Here is a 19,149-nt window from a genome sequence, read left to right as displayed (position 1 = left end):
TATCAAAATTAGGAGTTATTCACATGAAAAAGCTTTCCAGGGCTTAATTTACTCCAAATTTTCCAAACTCCTCACCAATTTATAACCACTATATGGTGTTCCCAACAAGGTGTTCCATGAGAGCAGTGATATACAAATAGTTTTGTGTATGTAGAGTTGGAGAAGTAAGGGAAATTTCTTGTTGCTATTGTGATTATTCTTTCTGTATTTGAAGTGAGCCTTGAAGGACTAAAAGGGTAAAAACAGATGGGAAAGGGAGAAAAGAGCATTTCAGCTTATGGAAATATAAGCATAATAATTACTAACATTTATGAAGCTTTTACCATGTGCTGTACACATCCCTCAGGTCGTTGACATGGAGATAAAGGACAGTGGTTACATGAATTTCCTCTGGTTTCCTAGGTAATGAATGGTGGCGCTTGGATGTGGCTCCCAGCTTTCTGAAAGGATACTCCAAAAAGAATGTTCTAACCTCCAAAGTTGGTTTCCATAAGGGTAAGCACTTAGGGAATAATGATCAGTTTAAATGCACCAGTGTCACTACTCATTTTGGTTTATATGGTAAGATGCATAATGTATATAACATACATACATAAAATGTATATATGAAAATATGTATGTATAATATATCTCTCTCCATATATATATGCATATATATATATATGCATAGAATCTCCAGAACCTGGGGACCAAAATTTCTAGTTGCTTATCTTCATGGGCCAATGCATGCATGCACAGGTGCTTAGCAGCTGTGCATTAATGAACACCACTGATGAAATGATTCTTTAGGATGAAAATTTCTTCCAAAAATAAGATAGGTAGTTTTATTTTTTGACAGATTGCGATATGCAATATCTACTTTATAAGGAGAATAAAAAATCTAGTTTCAAAGTGTTGTTTTACATGTAAATGTGATGTCAAAAATATGCTTTTGCTCTGACTCTTCATAGGCCATTCTGTTCAGTCCCAAAGTCATTATCAAACTCCTTTGACTTTTTGTTATGTACTCCTCAATTTTATTTCATGCATCTTGAAGAAACAAAAGACGTTTCAAATATAAATAGAGAATGAAAGTCTAGTTGTTGCATATAGGCCAGGCACCTTATCTAGCTCTCTGTGTGAATTTCCACCTCACTGCTTGCTGAGACTCTGCAAGAGGCAGGCTTCATCAGTTCGAAAATACCACACTCTGTCTTGATAGCTCATCCTCCTCTCTGTTTGTCACAGATGTTTCCAAGTGCAATGAGATGTGATTTAAAGAAAAGTGCTAATTTTTAAAAAGGTAAAAATTCCAAATTGAGTAATCTGTATATGCATTGCTGCCAAGTATTGGTTTGAGCTGATTCAAAAGAATTCAATCTATGGACATACATATCTTAATATATTTAAGGTCAATAAGACACATAAAAAATTCTCAGTAAAAGTCATGTAAAGGGAAACTGTTATGTTTGCACAGAGTTCATATATTTGCAATTTGGTTCCCATGATAAAAACATGATAATATCATAAGTAAGTGTAACTTTTCAATTTTAATAAGGTTTTGCTTGAAAGTCAGGATCATCTTGTATATTCACTTCCTGATTGGATATTCTGCTATCTTTACAGAGCTCACATGGGAGAAAGGATTAATTTTTCTAAATTGAATTTTAAAAGATATTTTATGCTTCTTTTCCATTCAAATATGGTTAAAAGTTAACCTAATTCAAGGGAAAAGGCAGGAAACTGTACAGCCTTAAATCCCAATTGAAGGAAAGACACTTTTTCGGTGGAAGAAGTTCATCAGTATTCTTCATAAATACTATCTTCATAAATATTATCAAGTGAGATTAAAACTATTATGCATTTTAAAACTTCTTCAGGGGCTGCTTTTTCCATTTGGTTCCACATGATAGCTTTTCTTTGGAAGTAGATTTGTGGCCCAGTGAGTAGCATTTGTTATTGTAGAATTTTATTTTCTCATTAAGTGGCTTGCCCATAAAAAACAAGGCAGCTCTACTTCTACACAGTAGTGAAATATGAGAACATTTCTAGTAAGAAGACTAGGCAACAGGGCAGGGTGAAGGTGTGGAGAGAGAGAGAGAGAGAGAGAGAGAGAGAGAGAGATGTTCAATCGTCGTTGTAATTGTATCTAATCATCACAGCATCACAGAAATGGAGAAGCTACTACAAAGGAAGAGAAGTCCTACTGCCCTGTCTGGATAAGACATTCCATTTTTTGATAGAATTTTCAGAGTACAGAAATAGTGTTTATATTTGTTGGGAAGTCAGAGTTGACAAAGTATTGTTTGGGGCATATCTAGATTTGTCAAGTTGGTGCTCATAATTTTTCATTTATTCTTGATGTGATTATTTCTTAGCTTTCAGAACTGAGGAGTTACTAGTCAGTCAATCATTTCAGCTAGTATCCTCTTAGTAGACTAATAAAGTTCTGTTTTTTTCTTCAACTTTTATTTTAAGTTCTGGGGTACATGTGCAGGATGTGCAAGTTTGTTACATAGGTAACACCTAAGTATTAAGCTCAGAATCCATTAGCTATTCTTCCTGATGCTCTCCCTCCCCCTGTCCCAAGACAGGCCCCAGTGTGTGTTGTTCCCCACCATGTGTCAATGTGTTCTCATCATTCAGCTCCCACTTATTAGTGAGAACATGAGGTGTTTGGTTTTCTGTTCCTGTGTTAGTTTGCTGAGGATAACGGCTTCCAGCTCCATTCATGACCCTGCAAAGGAGTTGATCTTGTTCCTTTTTATGGTTGCATAGAATTCCATAGTGTATATGTACCATCTTTTCTCTATCCAGTCTATCATTGGTGGGCATTTGGGTCGATTCTATGTCTTTGCTATTGTGAATAGCACTGCAATGAACATACGTGAGCATATATCTTTATAATAGAATGATTTATATTCCTCTGGGTATATACCCAGTAATGGGATTGCTGGTCAAATGGTATTTCTGCTTCCAGATCTTTGAGGAATTGCCTCACTGTCTTACACAATGGTTGAACTAATTTACATTTCCAACAACCATGTAAAAGCATTCCTTTTTCTCCACAACCTCACCAGCATCTGTTGTTTCTTGACTTCTTAATAATTGCCATTCTTACTGGTTTTCAATTGTATCTCTTGTGGTTTTTATTTGCATTTCTCTAATGATCAGTGTTGTTGGGCTTTTTTTTCATATGTTTGTTGGCCACATAAATGTCTTCTTTTGAGAAGTGTCTGTTCATGTCTTTGCCCACTTCTTAATGGGGTTGTTTGGTTTTTTCTTGTAAATTTGTTTGAGTTTCTTGTAGACTCTGGATATTAGACATTTGTCAAATGGCTGTATTACAAAAATGTTAAGGGCAGCCAGAGAAAAAGGCCAGACCACCTGCAAAACGAAGCCCATCAGGCTAACAGCAGATCTCTCAGTGGAAATGCTACAAGTTAAAAGACATTGGAGTCAAAAATTCAACATTCTTAAAGAAAAGAATTTCCAACACAAAATTTCATATCCAGCCAAACTAAGCTTCATAAGTGAAGGAGAAATAAGATCCTTTTCAGACAAGCAAATGCTGAGGGAATTCACCACCACCAGGCCTGCCTTGCAACAGATCCTGCAGGAAGCACTAAATATGGAAAGAAAAAACTGTTACCAGCCACTACAAAAACACACTGAAGTACCCAGACCAGTGACACGATGAAGCAGCTACATAAACAAGTCTGCAAAATAACCAGCTGGCATCATGACAGGATCAAGTTCACATATTACAATATTAACCATAAATGTAACTGGGCTAAATGCTCCAATTAAAAGACAGAGAATGGCAAGCTGGGTAAAGAGCCAAGACCCATCAGTATGTTGTATTCAAGAGACCAATCTCATGTGCAAAGACACACATAGGCTCAAAATAAAGGGATGGAGAAAAATTTATCAAGCAAATGGAAAACAGAAAAGAGCAGTGGTTGCAATCCTAGTTTTGGACAAAACAGACTTTAAACCAACAAAGATCAAAAAAGACAAAGAAGGGCATTACATAATGCTAAAGGACTCAATTCAACAAGAAGAGTTAACTATCCTAAATATATATGCACCCAATACAGGAGCACCCAGATTTATAAAGCAATTTCTTAGAGACCTACAATGAGATTTAGACTCCCACACAATAAAGTTCTCTTTATACTGCTTTTCATGCAACTGTCACTATGTTTCTGGCTATTTAACTATTCTCTTAATGTGTTGAGCATTTAAAAGGTGTAGAGATAAATTAAATGATTACACCCAGTCCATACATGTAATATTTACGTACAATATTATGAATTATGCCATTTACCTTTTATTTGGCTGTAGAATGCTTGCCTTTCGCAAATTTAAGATTTGAGTGAAATCTCAATAAATAACATCAATATGGAAAGTTAAAATTTAAAATAGAAGCTATAGGCTTCATAATATGCTACCTCAGCTTTTTTATTTTTATTTTTTAGTTTACTGTTAAAGTTTAGAATAGTATTAGATTTACAGATAAGTTAGGAAGAGAGTACAGAGAGTTCCTATATACCCTCCACACAGGTTTCCCTATTGCTAACATCCTACATTAATATAAGTTTTAATTTGTCACAATTAATGAACCAATATTGTTATATTATTATTACTGAAGTTCATACTTTATTTCCGTAGTTTTTACCAAATGTCTTTTTTCTATTCAAGAATCCCAATCAGTATATCACACTACATTTCACTGTGATGACTCCTCACATGCCATGCCAGTTTCTTTCTTTTTTCCTCTCATAATTAGACTGAAATTATATTTTTTGGGGGACAAAATCCACAGAAGTAAAACACTATTCTCATCACAATGTATCAATAATCCTACAAGCTATTAACATGACTTATCCCTGTCAATATTATCTTTGAACACCGGGCTATGGTAGTGTTGTCAGATTTCTTCATTGTAAAGTTACTCCCCACCTTCCATGCTGTACTTTGGAAGGCAGTCACTATGTACAGCCCATATATAAGGAATGGAGAAGTATGTTGCACCTTCTTGAGTAGAGATTAGCTATATGAATTATTTGGAATTCTTCTAGATGAGAGAATTATCTATTCCTCTTATTTATTTATTCAATCATTTATTTATGTCAGTATGGACTTATACAATTTTATTTTATATTTTAGATTATTATTTAATACAAGTTTATCCATTTTGTTGCTCAAATTGTTTTAGCTTTGGTCATGGGTATCCTTTTGTTTAGCTACTTTATCCCTTTGACATATTACCATCATCGAAGGTTTGTTTGTTTTGTTTTTAGCACTACAAAATGCTCTGAATACATCTTGTTTATCTTCTGACTCAATCCTAGAATCAAGTATTTCTCTATGGAGCCCACTGTCTTTTATTGGAGTGTGGTATTAGAATCCAAGATTTGTGTGCTAGTTATATTCATTATGACTGAAGTGTCAGTACTTCTAAGCCTTTTCAGCTGACAGAGGAAGTATATACTAATAAGCTAAACATGAGTTTATACTGATGTTTTCAACTTAAATCTAATACCACATGAATCATTTTAGATTTATCCCCTTGCTGGTCCGTAATCTTCCAATCCAACAGTGAGAAAGTCTGGCCCTTAACATCTGCCATCCTTTTAAATTCTCTTGATTAGTGTGGCTTCATAATTAGCCTTAAAATTGGATACTGTGAGTCCTGCAGTTTTTTTTTTTTTTTTTAGCATTTCGTTGGCTCACTTGCATTTTTATATAAATTTTGGAATTAGTTTGTTTATATAAAATAACTTGCTCAGATTGTGATTGTGATTATCAAATAAATAGATCACATTGGGAGGAAATTGTGTTTTAAGAATATTGAGTCTTCCAATCTAAGAACATAAAATATCTCTCCACTTGTTTAGACACTTTTTTATCAGTATTTTGTAATTTTCTGCATACAAATTCTGTATGTGATTTTATACTTAAGTACTCCATTAATTTGGTGGTATTGTAAATAGTATAGCTTTAATTTCAAACTTCAATGATTCATTGTTCTTATAAAGGAAAGTAATTGAGATTAATATTGATATTGTATCTTGTGACTTGGCTATACTTGCTTATTAGTTCCAGGAAGTGAATTTTGTTGTTGCTGCTGCTGTTGTTATTTACATTCTTTGGGGGGTTTTGTTCTGGCAATTATGTCATTTGCAAATAAAAAAGTTTACTTCTTCCCTCCAATCTGTGCACATTTTATCTTTTTCTTGTTTTGTTGCACTAGCTCTGACTTTTGGTAGGATATTTAACAAGAGTGATAAGGTTACTTTGCCTTTTTCCTGATATTAGGGGTGAAGCATCAGTCTCTTATCATTGAGCATGATGTTAGATGTAGGACATGTAGGTTTCCTTTCTTAAAAAAATAAAGTTGAAGAAATTCCACTCTATTTCACAGTATTGAGAGTTTTTATCATGAATGGATATTGGATTTCATCAAATGCTTTATCAACATCAATTCATATTATCATCTCTGATTTTTTTTCTTTTGCCAGTATATGTGGTGGATTACATTGTTGTTACATGTTGGACTAGCTTTATAAACTCCTAATAAATTCCACTTGTTTCTTGTATAAACTGTTTTCCCATGTTGTTGGATTCCATGTTGATATTTTGTTTAAGATTTTTGCATATATGTCCATGAGGGAGGTTGTTCTGTTGTTTTCTTTCTTTGTAATGTCTTCAGCCAATTTGCATACTAAGATAATTCTGGTTTTAGAGAATACATTAGAAAGTGTTTTCTCTGCTTCTATTTTCTGGATAAGGTGGAAAATTGGTATTATTTCTTCCTTAAGTACTTTGTAGAATTCACCAGTGAAAATATCTGGGCCTGGTAATTTCTTTTGAGAATCTTATAAAATATTGAATTAATTCCTGTATAGAGCAATTCAGGTCATCTGTTTCTCCTCGTGTGGATTTTAGTCCTTTCTGTCTTCCAAGAAATTGTTTTATTTCATTTATCTTATCATTTATTTCATGTGTACCATCACATTTACTTTTCAAATCACACTTAGAACAATACTGCACATGGTAGTCATTAAAATTATTTGATGAATGGATGAACACATGAACAGCAGGAATGCATTTTTTAAATTGCAAAACTGAGAAATGAGAACTAACGGTCTTAGAGACTAAAGATACTGACTCCATTACTTTTATTATGTTTTTATGTTAATTTTGACTGCTTCTTATTGAACCCTTCCATTTGGTGGTTAAAATATCATTGAGGCAAGTTTTTAAAGATTTTTTTCCCTATTATTTGTAATGATTTATTAAAGTAAAAATGTATTTCATATATGTATTATTACTAGTTTGTTAAATTATTTCAAAGTTAAGGTTCTAACCAACATCAGAAAACAATGGCAATGAGCATATAAGAAACAGATTTAGACATGTTAGGCTCTCAGGGTTGAAGAAATTTTTTCTTTCTTTTTTGACACAGAGTCTCCCTCTGTAGTCCAGGTTGGAGTGCATGGTACAATCACAGCTCACTGCAGCCTCGACCTCCCAGGCTCAGGCAATCCTCCCACTCAAGCCTTCCAAGCATCTGGGACACAAGTATGTGCCACCACACCTGGCTAATTTTTATCTGTAGAGACGAAGTCTCTCTATGTTGCGTAGGCTGGTCTTGAACTCCTGGGCTCAAGCAATCCTCTCAACTCAACCTCCCAAAGTGCTTGGATTACAGGCATGAGCCACCACATCCAGCCTAAGAATTCTTATATTTGCTTTGCCACTAAGCTGTTTCTTCAGTACAAGCAGTTATTTAAGCTCTTTTAGAGCCAGGTGGGGCAATCTATGGCCTACCACCTGCGTTTGTAAAGTTTTATTGGAACACAGCAATGCTTATTCATTTACATATTGTCTGCGGCTGCTTCAGAAATACAATGGCAGAGTTGCGACAGAGACTGCGTAACCCACAAAGCCTACAATATTTGCTATCTATAATTTTAAATTATTACCTTCATTTTATTTTACTGGCTTTATTATTTAGATTTCTTATTTCCATAGTTTTCTTGGGGAACTAGTGATATTTGGTTACATGAATAAGTAGTATTTCCTTAGTCGGAGTGTTGATCTCTTTTTTATTTCTAACATCGATAATTTGTGTGTTCTCCCATTTTTGTTGTTGGTTGAGATACTTAAAAATGTATTGTGTTGATCTTTCCAAAAAATGAATTTCTAAAACCATCTTCCTTATTGGTTTTCTACTTTCAATTTCATCGATTTCTACTCTAATTTGTATTACTTCTTTTTATTTATGCACTAAAACTTAAATCCCTCTTCGTTATCTAGTTTTCAAAAGTAAAATATTAGGTTTTTTATTTTAGATCTTTCTTATTTTTTGACATAAGCATTTAATGTTATAAATTTCTCTTTATGCATTGCTTTTGGTGCAGCCAACAGGTTTTGATAATTTGTGTTTTCATTTTGTTCAAAATGTATTTTAAAGTTTCTTGAGACTTTTTCTTTGACTCATAGATAATTTAGAAGTGTGTTATTTAATTTCCAAATATTTGAAGAGTTCCCAGCTATTTTTCTATAGCATATTTATAGTTTAATTCCACTGTGGTCTGAGAACATGCTTTGTATGATTGCTAGTTTTTTAAGTATGTTAAGATATGTTTTATGCCCAGAATGTGGTTTACATTGGGTAATGTTCCATGTAGCCTTGAGAAAAATGTGTCTTCTGCTGTTGCTAAATGGGATACTCTCTACATGTCAATTAGAACAAATTGATGGATTGTGCTATTCTGGTCATCTATGTCTTTACTGATTTTCCACCTGCTTGATCTAGCAAATGCTAAAAGAGATACTGATGTCCTCAAATAGGAATGGATTTGTCTATTTCTCCAATCAGTTGTATCAGCATTTTCTGCATGTATTTTCACATTCTTTTGTGAGTTACATATGCATTTATGATTATTATGCTTTCTTCAAGAATTGATTATTTATCATTATGGAATACTTTTGTTTACTTCTGAAGCTTTTCCTTGTTCTGAAGTCCTTTTTGTCTAAATGTAATATTGCTACCCCAGCTTTTGTTTGTTTGTTTGTTTGTTTGTGGGAGTCTTGCTCTGTCACTCAGTCTGGAGGGCAGTGGTGCAATCTCAGCTCACTGCAACCTCTGCCTCCCGGGTTCAAGCAATTCTCCCTGCCTCATCCTCCCAAGTAGCTGGGATTACAGGCACTTGCCACCACGCCTGGCTAATTTTTGTATTTTTAGTAGAGATGGGGTTTTGCCATGTTGGCCAGGCTAGTCTCAAACTCCTGACCTCAGGTGATCTGCCTGCCTCAGCATCCCAGCCTGCTGGGATTACAGGCAGGAGCCAACGCGCCCATCCTACCCCAGCTTTTTAAAATTAGTGTTACTATGATGTATCTTTCTCCAACCCTTTGCTTTTAAATTATTAGTAAATTTATATATAAAGTAGGTTTTTGCAGACAATATATGGTTTGGAAACATTGTTTTTAATCTACTCTGACCAAATTTTTCTTTCAATTAGTTTATTTAAACCATTTATACATTAAGTGATTATTAACGTGGACTAATATTTATGATATCTCAAAGTCTTTTTAAAATTTATTGGCTTACTTATTTCTCTACCTTCTGATTTTTCTTTATTTAATTGAGCATTTTACATGATTTCACTTTATCTTCTATCTTAGCATACAAATTATATTACTTTAAAAAATGTATTGGTTGTCCTAGAATTTACAATTTACATTTTTATCTGTTTTGTCCACCTTCAAATAACACTACACTGATTAACATGTAGTGCAAGTACTTTATAAGAAATTATTCCCAGTTTCTCCCCCCTTTCCCTCGATGTTGCTGTCACTCATTTTGCCCATTCATAATCACCTAATACATTGTCATTGTTATTATTATTGCTTTAAAAACTATCTTTTACATCAATTAAAAATTAGAAAAAAGATTGTAATTTACCTTCATATATTCCTTCTTCAATGTTTTCTTTTCTTTATGTAAAATCCAAATTTCTGACCTTTATCATTTTCATTTTCTTTCTCTCTGAAGAACTTTTTTTTTTTTAACCATTTTTTGGAAAGTCTGCTGGTTGTATAGGTTTTTTTTCTTTGTTTACCCTTCACTTTTGATGGATAATTTTGCTGGATAAATTCTAGGTTGATGTATTTATTTTACTTTGTTTTCAAAACTTCATTTCCACTCTCTTTTTGCTGTCATGGTCTCTGATGAGAAGTCCACGGTAATTCTTATTCCTCTATAAATTAGTGTTTTCCTCCTCTGCATTCTTTTTAGACTTTTTTCTTTGTGTTTGGTTTCCTGCTGTTTAAATATGGCATGCCAAAATCTATTTGTTTGGTATTTATTACGCTTCACTTTATCTGAACTTTCTGGACCTGTTATGTGGTGTCTGTCACTAATTTTGGAAAGGTCTTAAGTATTTCAATTAAGTATATGTTACACTTTTATATATTGTCCCACAGTTCTTTGACGTTTGGTCCTCATTTGTTTGTTTGTTTTAATATTTTTTTCTTTTTGCATTATAATTTGAAAAGTTTTTATTGACCTGTCTTCAAATTTACTGATTCTTTCTTCAGTCATTTCAAGTCTACTGAAAGCTCACCGAATGTATTCTTCATTTCAGTTACTGTGGTTTTTAATTCTAAAATTTCCCTTTGATTATCCCTTAGAGTTTTTATCTCTCTGCTTACATTACGTATCTGTTCTTCCATGCTGTTTACTCTTGCTATTAGGGTTCTTAACATATTAATCATAGTTATTTTAAAATTCCTATCATATAATTCCAACATGTATGTGACATCATGAGTCTGGTTCTGATGATTGCCTTTTTCTCAGAGTGGTTTTTTTTCCTTGAATTTTGACATACCTGGCAATCTTTTTGTTTAAAGCCAGATACAATGAATTAGGTAATAGGAAGTGAGATAAATAGGTCTTTACTATGGGGATTTATGCTCATCTGGCTAGGAGTTGGACTGTGTTTAATATTTGTCATAGCTACAGGCACCAGACAATTTAACTTCATTTCTTGTCCTTGTTTTCCTCTCCACACTTAACTTTGGGCTTTCCTAGGTGCTCTTTGTCTGGGAGGACCTGTGGCTTGCATCTCTTTCAGCTGTGATTTACTCTTATGCTACTGGCTATTTTTGTGTGATGGTAAATTGTGGGCAAGGGGATATGTTCCACAATTGTCCAATTAAATTGCTTGCAAAGTTTTTCTCTCATTGTTTTAGTAATCCTAATTGCATCTGTAGAATATTTAAAAAATGGTTTAGATATTGCTGACTCATACTAACTAAATTGTCACTGCTTTTTCAACAAAAATAAATTGTTATATGAGTAAATAGTTCACACCAATTTACTTGCCTCTAAAGAATGGAAATAAGTTCTTAAAAAAAAACAAAAAAATAAGTTGATCATTTTTGCAACATTTTAAAGCAAGAAGATATTATAAAATTCCTAAAAACAATCATTTGGAATTATTTATTTTTAATTTAAACTCATTTTAGATACAGAGGGTACATATGTAGGTGTATTATATGGAGATATTGCATCTGCTGATGTCTGGGGTATGGATCTCGTCAATCAGGTAGTGAGCATAGTACCTGATAGGTAGTTTTTCAACACATGCCCCCACTACCTCTTTTTGCCTCAGTAGTCCATAATATCTATTTTTGCTCATAGTATCTGTATTTATGCCAATGTGTGCTCAATGTTTAGCTCCCATTTATAAGTGAGACATGTGGTATTTGGTTTCCTGTTGCTTCATTAATTAATTTAGGATTGCTCCATCATATTGCTGCAAAGGACCTGTTTTCACTATTTTTATGGCTACAATGTATTCCATAGTGTATATGTACCATAATTTCTTTATCCAATACACTGTTGTTTGGCACCTGTTATTTCCATGTCTATTCTATTACGAATAGTGCAGCAATGAGCATACGAGTGCATGTGTCTTTTTGGTAGAATGATTTATTTTCCTTTGGGTATATACCCTGTAATGGGATTGCTGGTTTGAATGGTGGTTCTGTTTTAGGTTCTTTAAGAAATCTCCAAACTGCTTTCCACAGGGGCTGGACTAATTTACATTCTCACCTGCAGTGTATAAGCATTCCTTTTCTCTGCAGCCTTATGGGCATCTATTGTTTTTTGACTTTGTAATAATTGCCATTTTGACTGGTGTGAGATGGTATCTCATTATGGTTTTGATTTTCAATTCTCCAACGGTTAGTAAAGTTGAACATTTTTTCATATGATTGTTGCCACTTTTATGTCTTCTTTTAAGACCTGTCTGTTTATGTCCTTTGTCCATTTTCAATGGGGTTATTTGCTTTTTACTTGTTGATTTCTTTAAATTCTCTATAGATTCTGAATAGTAAGCATTTGTCAGATGCATGGATTGCAAATATCTTATTCCACTCTGTAGGTTGTCAGTTTACTCTGTTGATAAGTTCTTTTGCTATGCAGAAGATCTTTAGTAAAATAAGACCCCATTTGTCTATTTTTGGTTTGGCTGCAATTGCTTTTGGGGACTTAGCCATAACTTCTTTGCCAAGGCTGACGTTGAAAAGAGTATTTCCTAGGTTGTCTTCTAAGATTTTTATAGTTTGAGGGCTTATATTTAAGCCTTTTATCCGTTTTGAGTTAATTTTGTATATGGTGAAAGGCAGGGGTCCAGCATCAATTCAGCACGTGGCTAGTCAGTTATCCTGGCACCATTTATTGAATAGGGAGTCCTTTCCCCACTGCTTGTTTTTATCAGCATTGTCAAAGATTAGATGGATGTAGGTGTGTGGCTTTATTTCTGAGTTTTCTATTCAGTTCCATTGGTCTATGTGTCTGTTTTTGTATCAGTACCATGCTGTTTTGGTTACTGTAGCCTCGTAGTATAGTTTGAAGTTGGGTTGCATGATGCCTCCAGGTTTGTTCTTTTTGCTTAGGATTGTCTTGGATATTCAGGCTCTCTTTCTGGTTCTATATGAATTTTAAAATAGTTTCTTCTAATTCTGTAAAGAATGTCAATGGTTGTTTAATGGGAATAGCATTGAATCTATAAATTACTTTGGGTAGTGTGGCCATTTTAATGATATTGATTCTTCCAATCCATGATCATGGAATCTTTTTTCATTTATTTGTGTTGTCTAATTTCTTTCAGCAGAGGTTTTTAGTTCTCCTTGAGGAGATCTTTCACCTTGTTGGTTAACTGTATTCTTAGGTATTTCATTTTCTTTGCAGCCATTGTGAATGGGATTGTGTTCTTGATTTCACTCTTGGCCTGGATGTTGTTTGTGTATGGAAATGCTATTTATTTTTGTATACTGATTTTGTATCCCGAAACTTTACCAAGGTCATTTATGAGTTCTAGGAGCCTTTTGGCAGGGTCTTTAGGATTTTCTAGATATAGAATCATATTGTTCGTAAAGGAAGATAGCTTGACTTTTCCTATTTGAATGACTTTTATTTATTTCCTTTGCCTGACCACTTCTATTCAACATAGTACTGGAACTCCTAGCCAGAGAAATCAAATAAGAGAAAGAAATAGAATTTTTTTAAATTAACTTTTTTTTCTCCTTCTTGTCCCATGATCCTCTCCCCTTCCTGTCAAATCATGATAATGTACTTATCTTAAGGATATTTCCTCTCTACTTAGTCTTTTATTCTCTAATTTCATAAAATTGCTTGATACTACTTGGATATTTGTAGCTACTCAGACATATAGAAAGTTCACAGTTTCAGTGATGTCAATGACTAATGAAACCCAGAGTTTATGTAGTGAACTAGAAAATTGAAACACAAGTTTCCGTGAGAAGAGTAATAGGCAGAATGAGAATTAATTCAAAGGGTAATATTAATAGGTATTTTCTATTCAAAATATCCTGGAAATACTCTACTTACAATATTTTATTTGTAGAATCCTAATACTGGGAAAAATACTACCTTATTTTTAAAAATATTTTAAGCCTTCCGGCAGGTTTCTTCAACCCTCTGAGAATACAGTTTGTCCTCTAACTAAATATCCATTTTCAAAATTGGAAGGAAAGAATGGTCCAGTCTGGCTTTACCATATTAAACACAAAACCAACTGTTCAGTTTAAGTTATGCCTAAGAGAAATTATAATCTCAGCTGCCATTTCTCATATCCTGTTAAAATATATCAAAATATTTAGTGTACTCTAGTATTTACTTGTCCACTTCTCTTACATTTCAAGTTTATTTCCAAGCCTGTCTCTTAAAACTTCAGGATAATTCTGTCTTTACCTCTAATCATCTAGATCATTCCTTTCACAGTTAGGCAGATGACAAGTATGAGGAGACAGCTTTTGGCTGACATATATAATTCTTATTGCACTAATGTTATTGTTATCTTGTTGAATTATAATTGTTATTTTCTAGGTTTAAATTCCTGTTCCATAAATTGCCAGTTATGTGACCTTTAACAAATTTTCTCTGTCTCAGTTTCCTCATCTGTAAAATGAAGGCAATTCTATTACTTAACTGATAGAATGTTGTAAAGATTAAATTTGTTAATTCACAAAATATGTTTCAGAAAAGTGTCTAGCTCATAATAATTGCACAATGTATATTCGCTGCAATTACTGTTAGTATTATAACTATTACAACTGGTTTGGAGGGGACGTAGTGTCTCACCTGATTAGTAGACCATTTATACTAAATCCTTGAGGAGAGACAGGCCTATGAAAGCATTGCACAATTATGTCAGGTGTTGTTCACATGGACTACTATAAGATTGGGATACCTTGGACTTTGGGCAACTCTAGGCACATGTGATTCCTTTTTCCCAGAAACAGGACTTAGAAAGGAAAGAAAGTGGAAAGATCATGAATCTCAGCCTAGTTTTTATATCTGCACATCCCTAGTAGAGTTATTTTACCTCCCTGAGCTGTGGTCTCATCATTTGGAAAATAATACTCAGAAGTCATGGTGGTTGTGAAGATCAGTATATATAGACATGCTTTATATAAAGCACATAGCATTAATAAAATTTTTTTTAAAGTATAAAGTATTCTTTATTTTTTAACATAAAGTTTTATACTATATATAAAACACATAGTATTAATTATTTTAAAAATCAGATTTCCTTCTCCCTCTCCTATTATTTCTTTTTCTATTAACTAAAGGGCAGAATCTTCTTATCTAACATTTACCCGGAGAGATATAAAGCAGAATAGGAAAAAATACCTGCGTGGCAAAACCATGCAGTTGTCACATGGGGATGGATCGAGTGAAAACAAATGAAAAAAACTAGCCATGTGCTTGTACCTTGCTCCTGTATTGGAGGGCTAGCATATAGATGTCTTAAGGCAGTGGGTGAATTGGAACAGGTCTCACAAATAAAGTGACTAAGACATAAATAGAACTTTGAATTTTATTGACATGTATGAGCTTACATTCCTTTAACTATCTCTTACTATCCTGTTCTTACTTTTGAGAGTTCCAGTTCACTTTCAAAGAGAAAGGACACAGATTTGAGTCAAAGTGCTGGAGGTGGGGGTCAAGGCACTGTCCTCTGCTCCCAGCCAGAGGACCAATGAAATGACTTGAAGGAACAGGGTAATGGCAAAGTCAGAGCCACTTAGAAACCTAAAGATTTTTATTTTTCTGTTAATTTTAGGAGGCTAGGTTTGGTTTTACAATTAATAACCCCTTATAGGAAGCAGGAAACACTACCTCAACTCCATGTCTACATTCTTGACACAAATAGCACTTTTATTCTTCTAAAATCACAAATATATAAAAAAATGTGAGGGCTTTCCAAAGGGATAAGGGCTTGGAAAGAAGCATCTTTCAAGAAAGGTAGGCATATTTTCCATGTTCATAAGTTTGTTACTCAAGGCTTAATATGCTCCAATGAAGTATATATCATAGAATCTTCTTGCTTCACACCAGTGATTTTTCAGCCTTGGCTTGATACTAGCAGCACCATGAGAACATTTAAAATACAACAATGCTCAAACTGATTTAATTGTTCTGGGAACTGGTATTTTTTAAAGTTCCCAGGTGAATCAATATAAACTTAGGTCTCTGAACTACTGCTTTATGCCCTTAGACCTGTGTTCTCAGGTTTTAACTGGAAATTTAGCCCATTGTCTCTAGGTTTGCCCTTTGTAACAATGAAGGAAAGAATGCCCTGGGTATTCTAGAACAGTTCTTTAAAAGTTTGAAAATAAATCAACCCTTGAGTCTCTTTTCTCAGATGACTCAAACTAGTGCCTCACACTTTGCGTCTTAGAAGCCTTTCCATTCTTATTTTTGTAATTCTCAGGAGGAATTCTTATAATGTTAAATATGTTGAAAGGTGAAAGACAGAAGTTTGAATAAAAAGCTTTACATTAATTATTATGGCAACATTTATCAACAATTACCTATTATTCCTTTGTAAACACATTCTTACAGTGTATTAACATTTCACTATTCTTTGAAGTAGTGATTGCCTATTGGTCTTGTTTATATTCTGTTACAATTCCACATTTCCCCAAAACTTATTCTGGAGATTTTCTTAGTTTTTTAAAGTCTTTTGTTGAGAAGAGCCTAGTTAAACTTTTTATTAAACTTATTGTGATAAGAGAGGGCACTATTGAGGTATAAGTTTCTCGGAAAGATTTTGTGGAAAACTCAGATAGATCTTAATACTGTAGCATTTAGGTATATTGGATTCCTGGTTTAAATAATGCCTGAAGCTTGTCAAGTGGAAGTAAAGCAAGAGAAGAAAAGTATCTTAAATTTAAACCATCAAGCAAAGAGTAAAATTTTTCCCAAAAGCAATGAACCATTTAATTTCCACTAATGTTACCTGGGAAAAAATATCCTGTACTACCAATCAAAGAAACTTAGAAATGAGAATAAGCACTTAGTCTTCAGAGACTCCAAAAATTTTGGTTCAGGGGAATCAGAGTTGAAACATTCCTCTCAAAATAGCCTTGCATAATATTTTTGTTTTAACAAATTAAATTTAATTTGGCAGAAGATTGGAAAGAATGCTCTTTGGGAATTTAAGATTTGCTCCAAAGTCAACAAAGAACTATGTAAGCTGGGCAAGCTCAGTATTATGAAGGGGTAAAGAAGCTGATCCTAAAATAAAGAGTAGGTAATATTTTAAGATGTCAAATAAATGACATTTGCAACTTACTATATTTGCAGTTACAACCTGCTTACACTTAGAGTTGCAACCTACTACACTTACGCTAAGTTTTAGGTAAGAAGGCACATAAGCATTCATATGTGAGCATGCATATATACACACTTAGAAATAAATTTTAATTATTTTTTAAGCTAGCCCTACAACTAAACTTTTAGAATGATGAGGCAAAGGGGACTGAAGAATCACAACATTGGTCTCACAATTAATCTTAAGATAACTAGTCACAAAGAAATATTTTCACATAATAAGTAAAAACACTAAAGTAAGTAAAAATCTATTTGTTACGTCTAGAAAATTTTATCTTGCTTGGCTCATGAGAAATTGATAAAGTTGAAGAGGATTCTATTTAATGTAGGGTCTGGCTTGTATGTGGGAATACAGAAAGCATATAAACTTATTTTTATGATTTATAAAATTAGGTTGTAAAAGTTATTGTGATCGTTATTGACTAAACAGATGGTATTTTAAAGTTTATCTACAATTAATTATCATGTCAGTAGCAAATCTGCCACTTAAATTCAAGCAAAATTATTGATCTCAATATTGATGGTTTAAAAGTTAGAAATGTATCATCTGACTAGAGTGATCTCCATTGTAAAATATCAGAACTTGTCCTCAGGTAAAAATCCTGCTGTTTTAGACACACTAGGATTTAGAATTTTAGCAGTCCCTTTAGAAAAGTCTTCCTTGGTCTCTTTCTCTGTAAATGGTCAGTCCATCTATAATGGTGGGTCCAAAAGAACCATAATTCTACCACATTACCCTGGTTCTCTAGCAATATTGGAGGACTGTGGTAAGCAGTTGACTTATACTTGGTCTAATATATTTTCCTTCAAGAATGTGAACTGAGGGATGCAGAGGATGGGACTTGCGTGCTGAGTCATTTTAATGGTGGACTCTAATGAAAGATCCACAAACTGTTGATACCAAGATCCTTACTCCCCATTGCATCCTTTCTCAAGAGTTGTAGTTTATTATTTTTAAAATATATTTTTATATTTATTATAAAATAATAAAATTTATTATTTTATTATTATAACATTTATTATAAAATATTATATATTTATTATATTATAACTTATTATGTTATATTTTATTTATATATTTTTATGTTATAATAAATATTTATGTTATATATTTATTATGTTATAATTTATTATATTATAACATTTATTATAAAATATAAAATGTTATAAAATTTACTGTAATAAATTTTGTTTTAATGTTGAAACTTCCTTATGTTGATTCTATTATTGTACACCAAAGACTTTACTACAAGGATTCATGACAGTAGAACTTAGAAAAAGATTTTAAGGAGACAACTAGTTCAACTCCTTCACTTTAAATGAAGAAATTGACACTCATAGAGCTTGATTCAATTGTTTAATATCTAGAAGAACTAGAGATGTGGTGTGGACATTAGTTCTTGTTTTTGCTAAGTGTGCCATTCACATTCCTGACTTTCACATTCACCTGACTTTCACCTCAAGAGCTTATGAAGACAGGCCTCTTCGTTTAGTAATCTGTGTAGATATTATGTTTTTTTTTTCCCAGTGCTAAATTTTTCACCTTTCATATTCTGATTATCTAACTACTTTCACTTTATAACTAAAGCAAAAGGGCCACAGATTTTTACAAATGCTCTATCTGGCCAAAGCCCCAAATTAAGCTCTTTCAGATTGCTACAAAGAAGAGCTGATACCAATCCTACTGAAACTGTTCCAAGAAATCAAGGAGGAGGAGTTTCTCCCTAACTCATTCTACAAAGCCAGCATCATTGTAATATGAAAATCAGGCAGAGATATAATGAAAAAAGAAAACTTCATGCCAGTATCCCTAATGAAGATTGATGCAAAAGTCCTCAACAAAATACCAGAAAAATGAGCCCAGCAGCTCCTCAAAAAGCTAATCTATCCCAATAAAGTAGGTTTTATTTCTAGGGTGCAAGATTAGTTCAACATACACAAAT

At 33.3% G+C, this 19,149-nt stretch overlaps 1 long non-coding RNA gene across 1 annotated transcript in view; it reads left to right on the top strand.

The window, feature by feature from the left end:
* The window catches only part of LOC105377865 (uncharacterized), a 374,941-nt gene that overhangs the window by 316,978 nt on the left and 38,814 nt on the right, over positions 1 to 19,149 (top strand). The window contains exon 3 of the long non-coding RNA XR_002956359.2: positions 403 to 495. This is a non-coding gene — a long non-coding RNA (uncharacterized LOC105377865). The remainder of the gene's footprint in view (positions 1 to 402; positions 496 to 19,149) is intronic.

The sequence above is a fragment of the Homo sapiens genome, chromosome 6 (genome assembly GCF_000001405.40).
Source record: "Homo sapiens chromosome 6, GRCh38.p14 Primary Assembly".
Taxonomy (NCBI): domain Eukaryota; kingdom Metazoa; phylum Chordata; class Mammalia; order Primates; family Hominidae; genus Homo; species Homo sapiens.
Note: the sequence above shows the minus strand (reverse complement) of the source record. Positions and strands in the feature narration are given on the sequence as shown.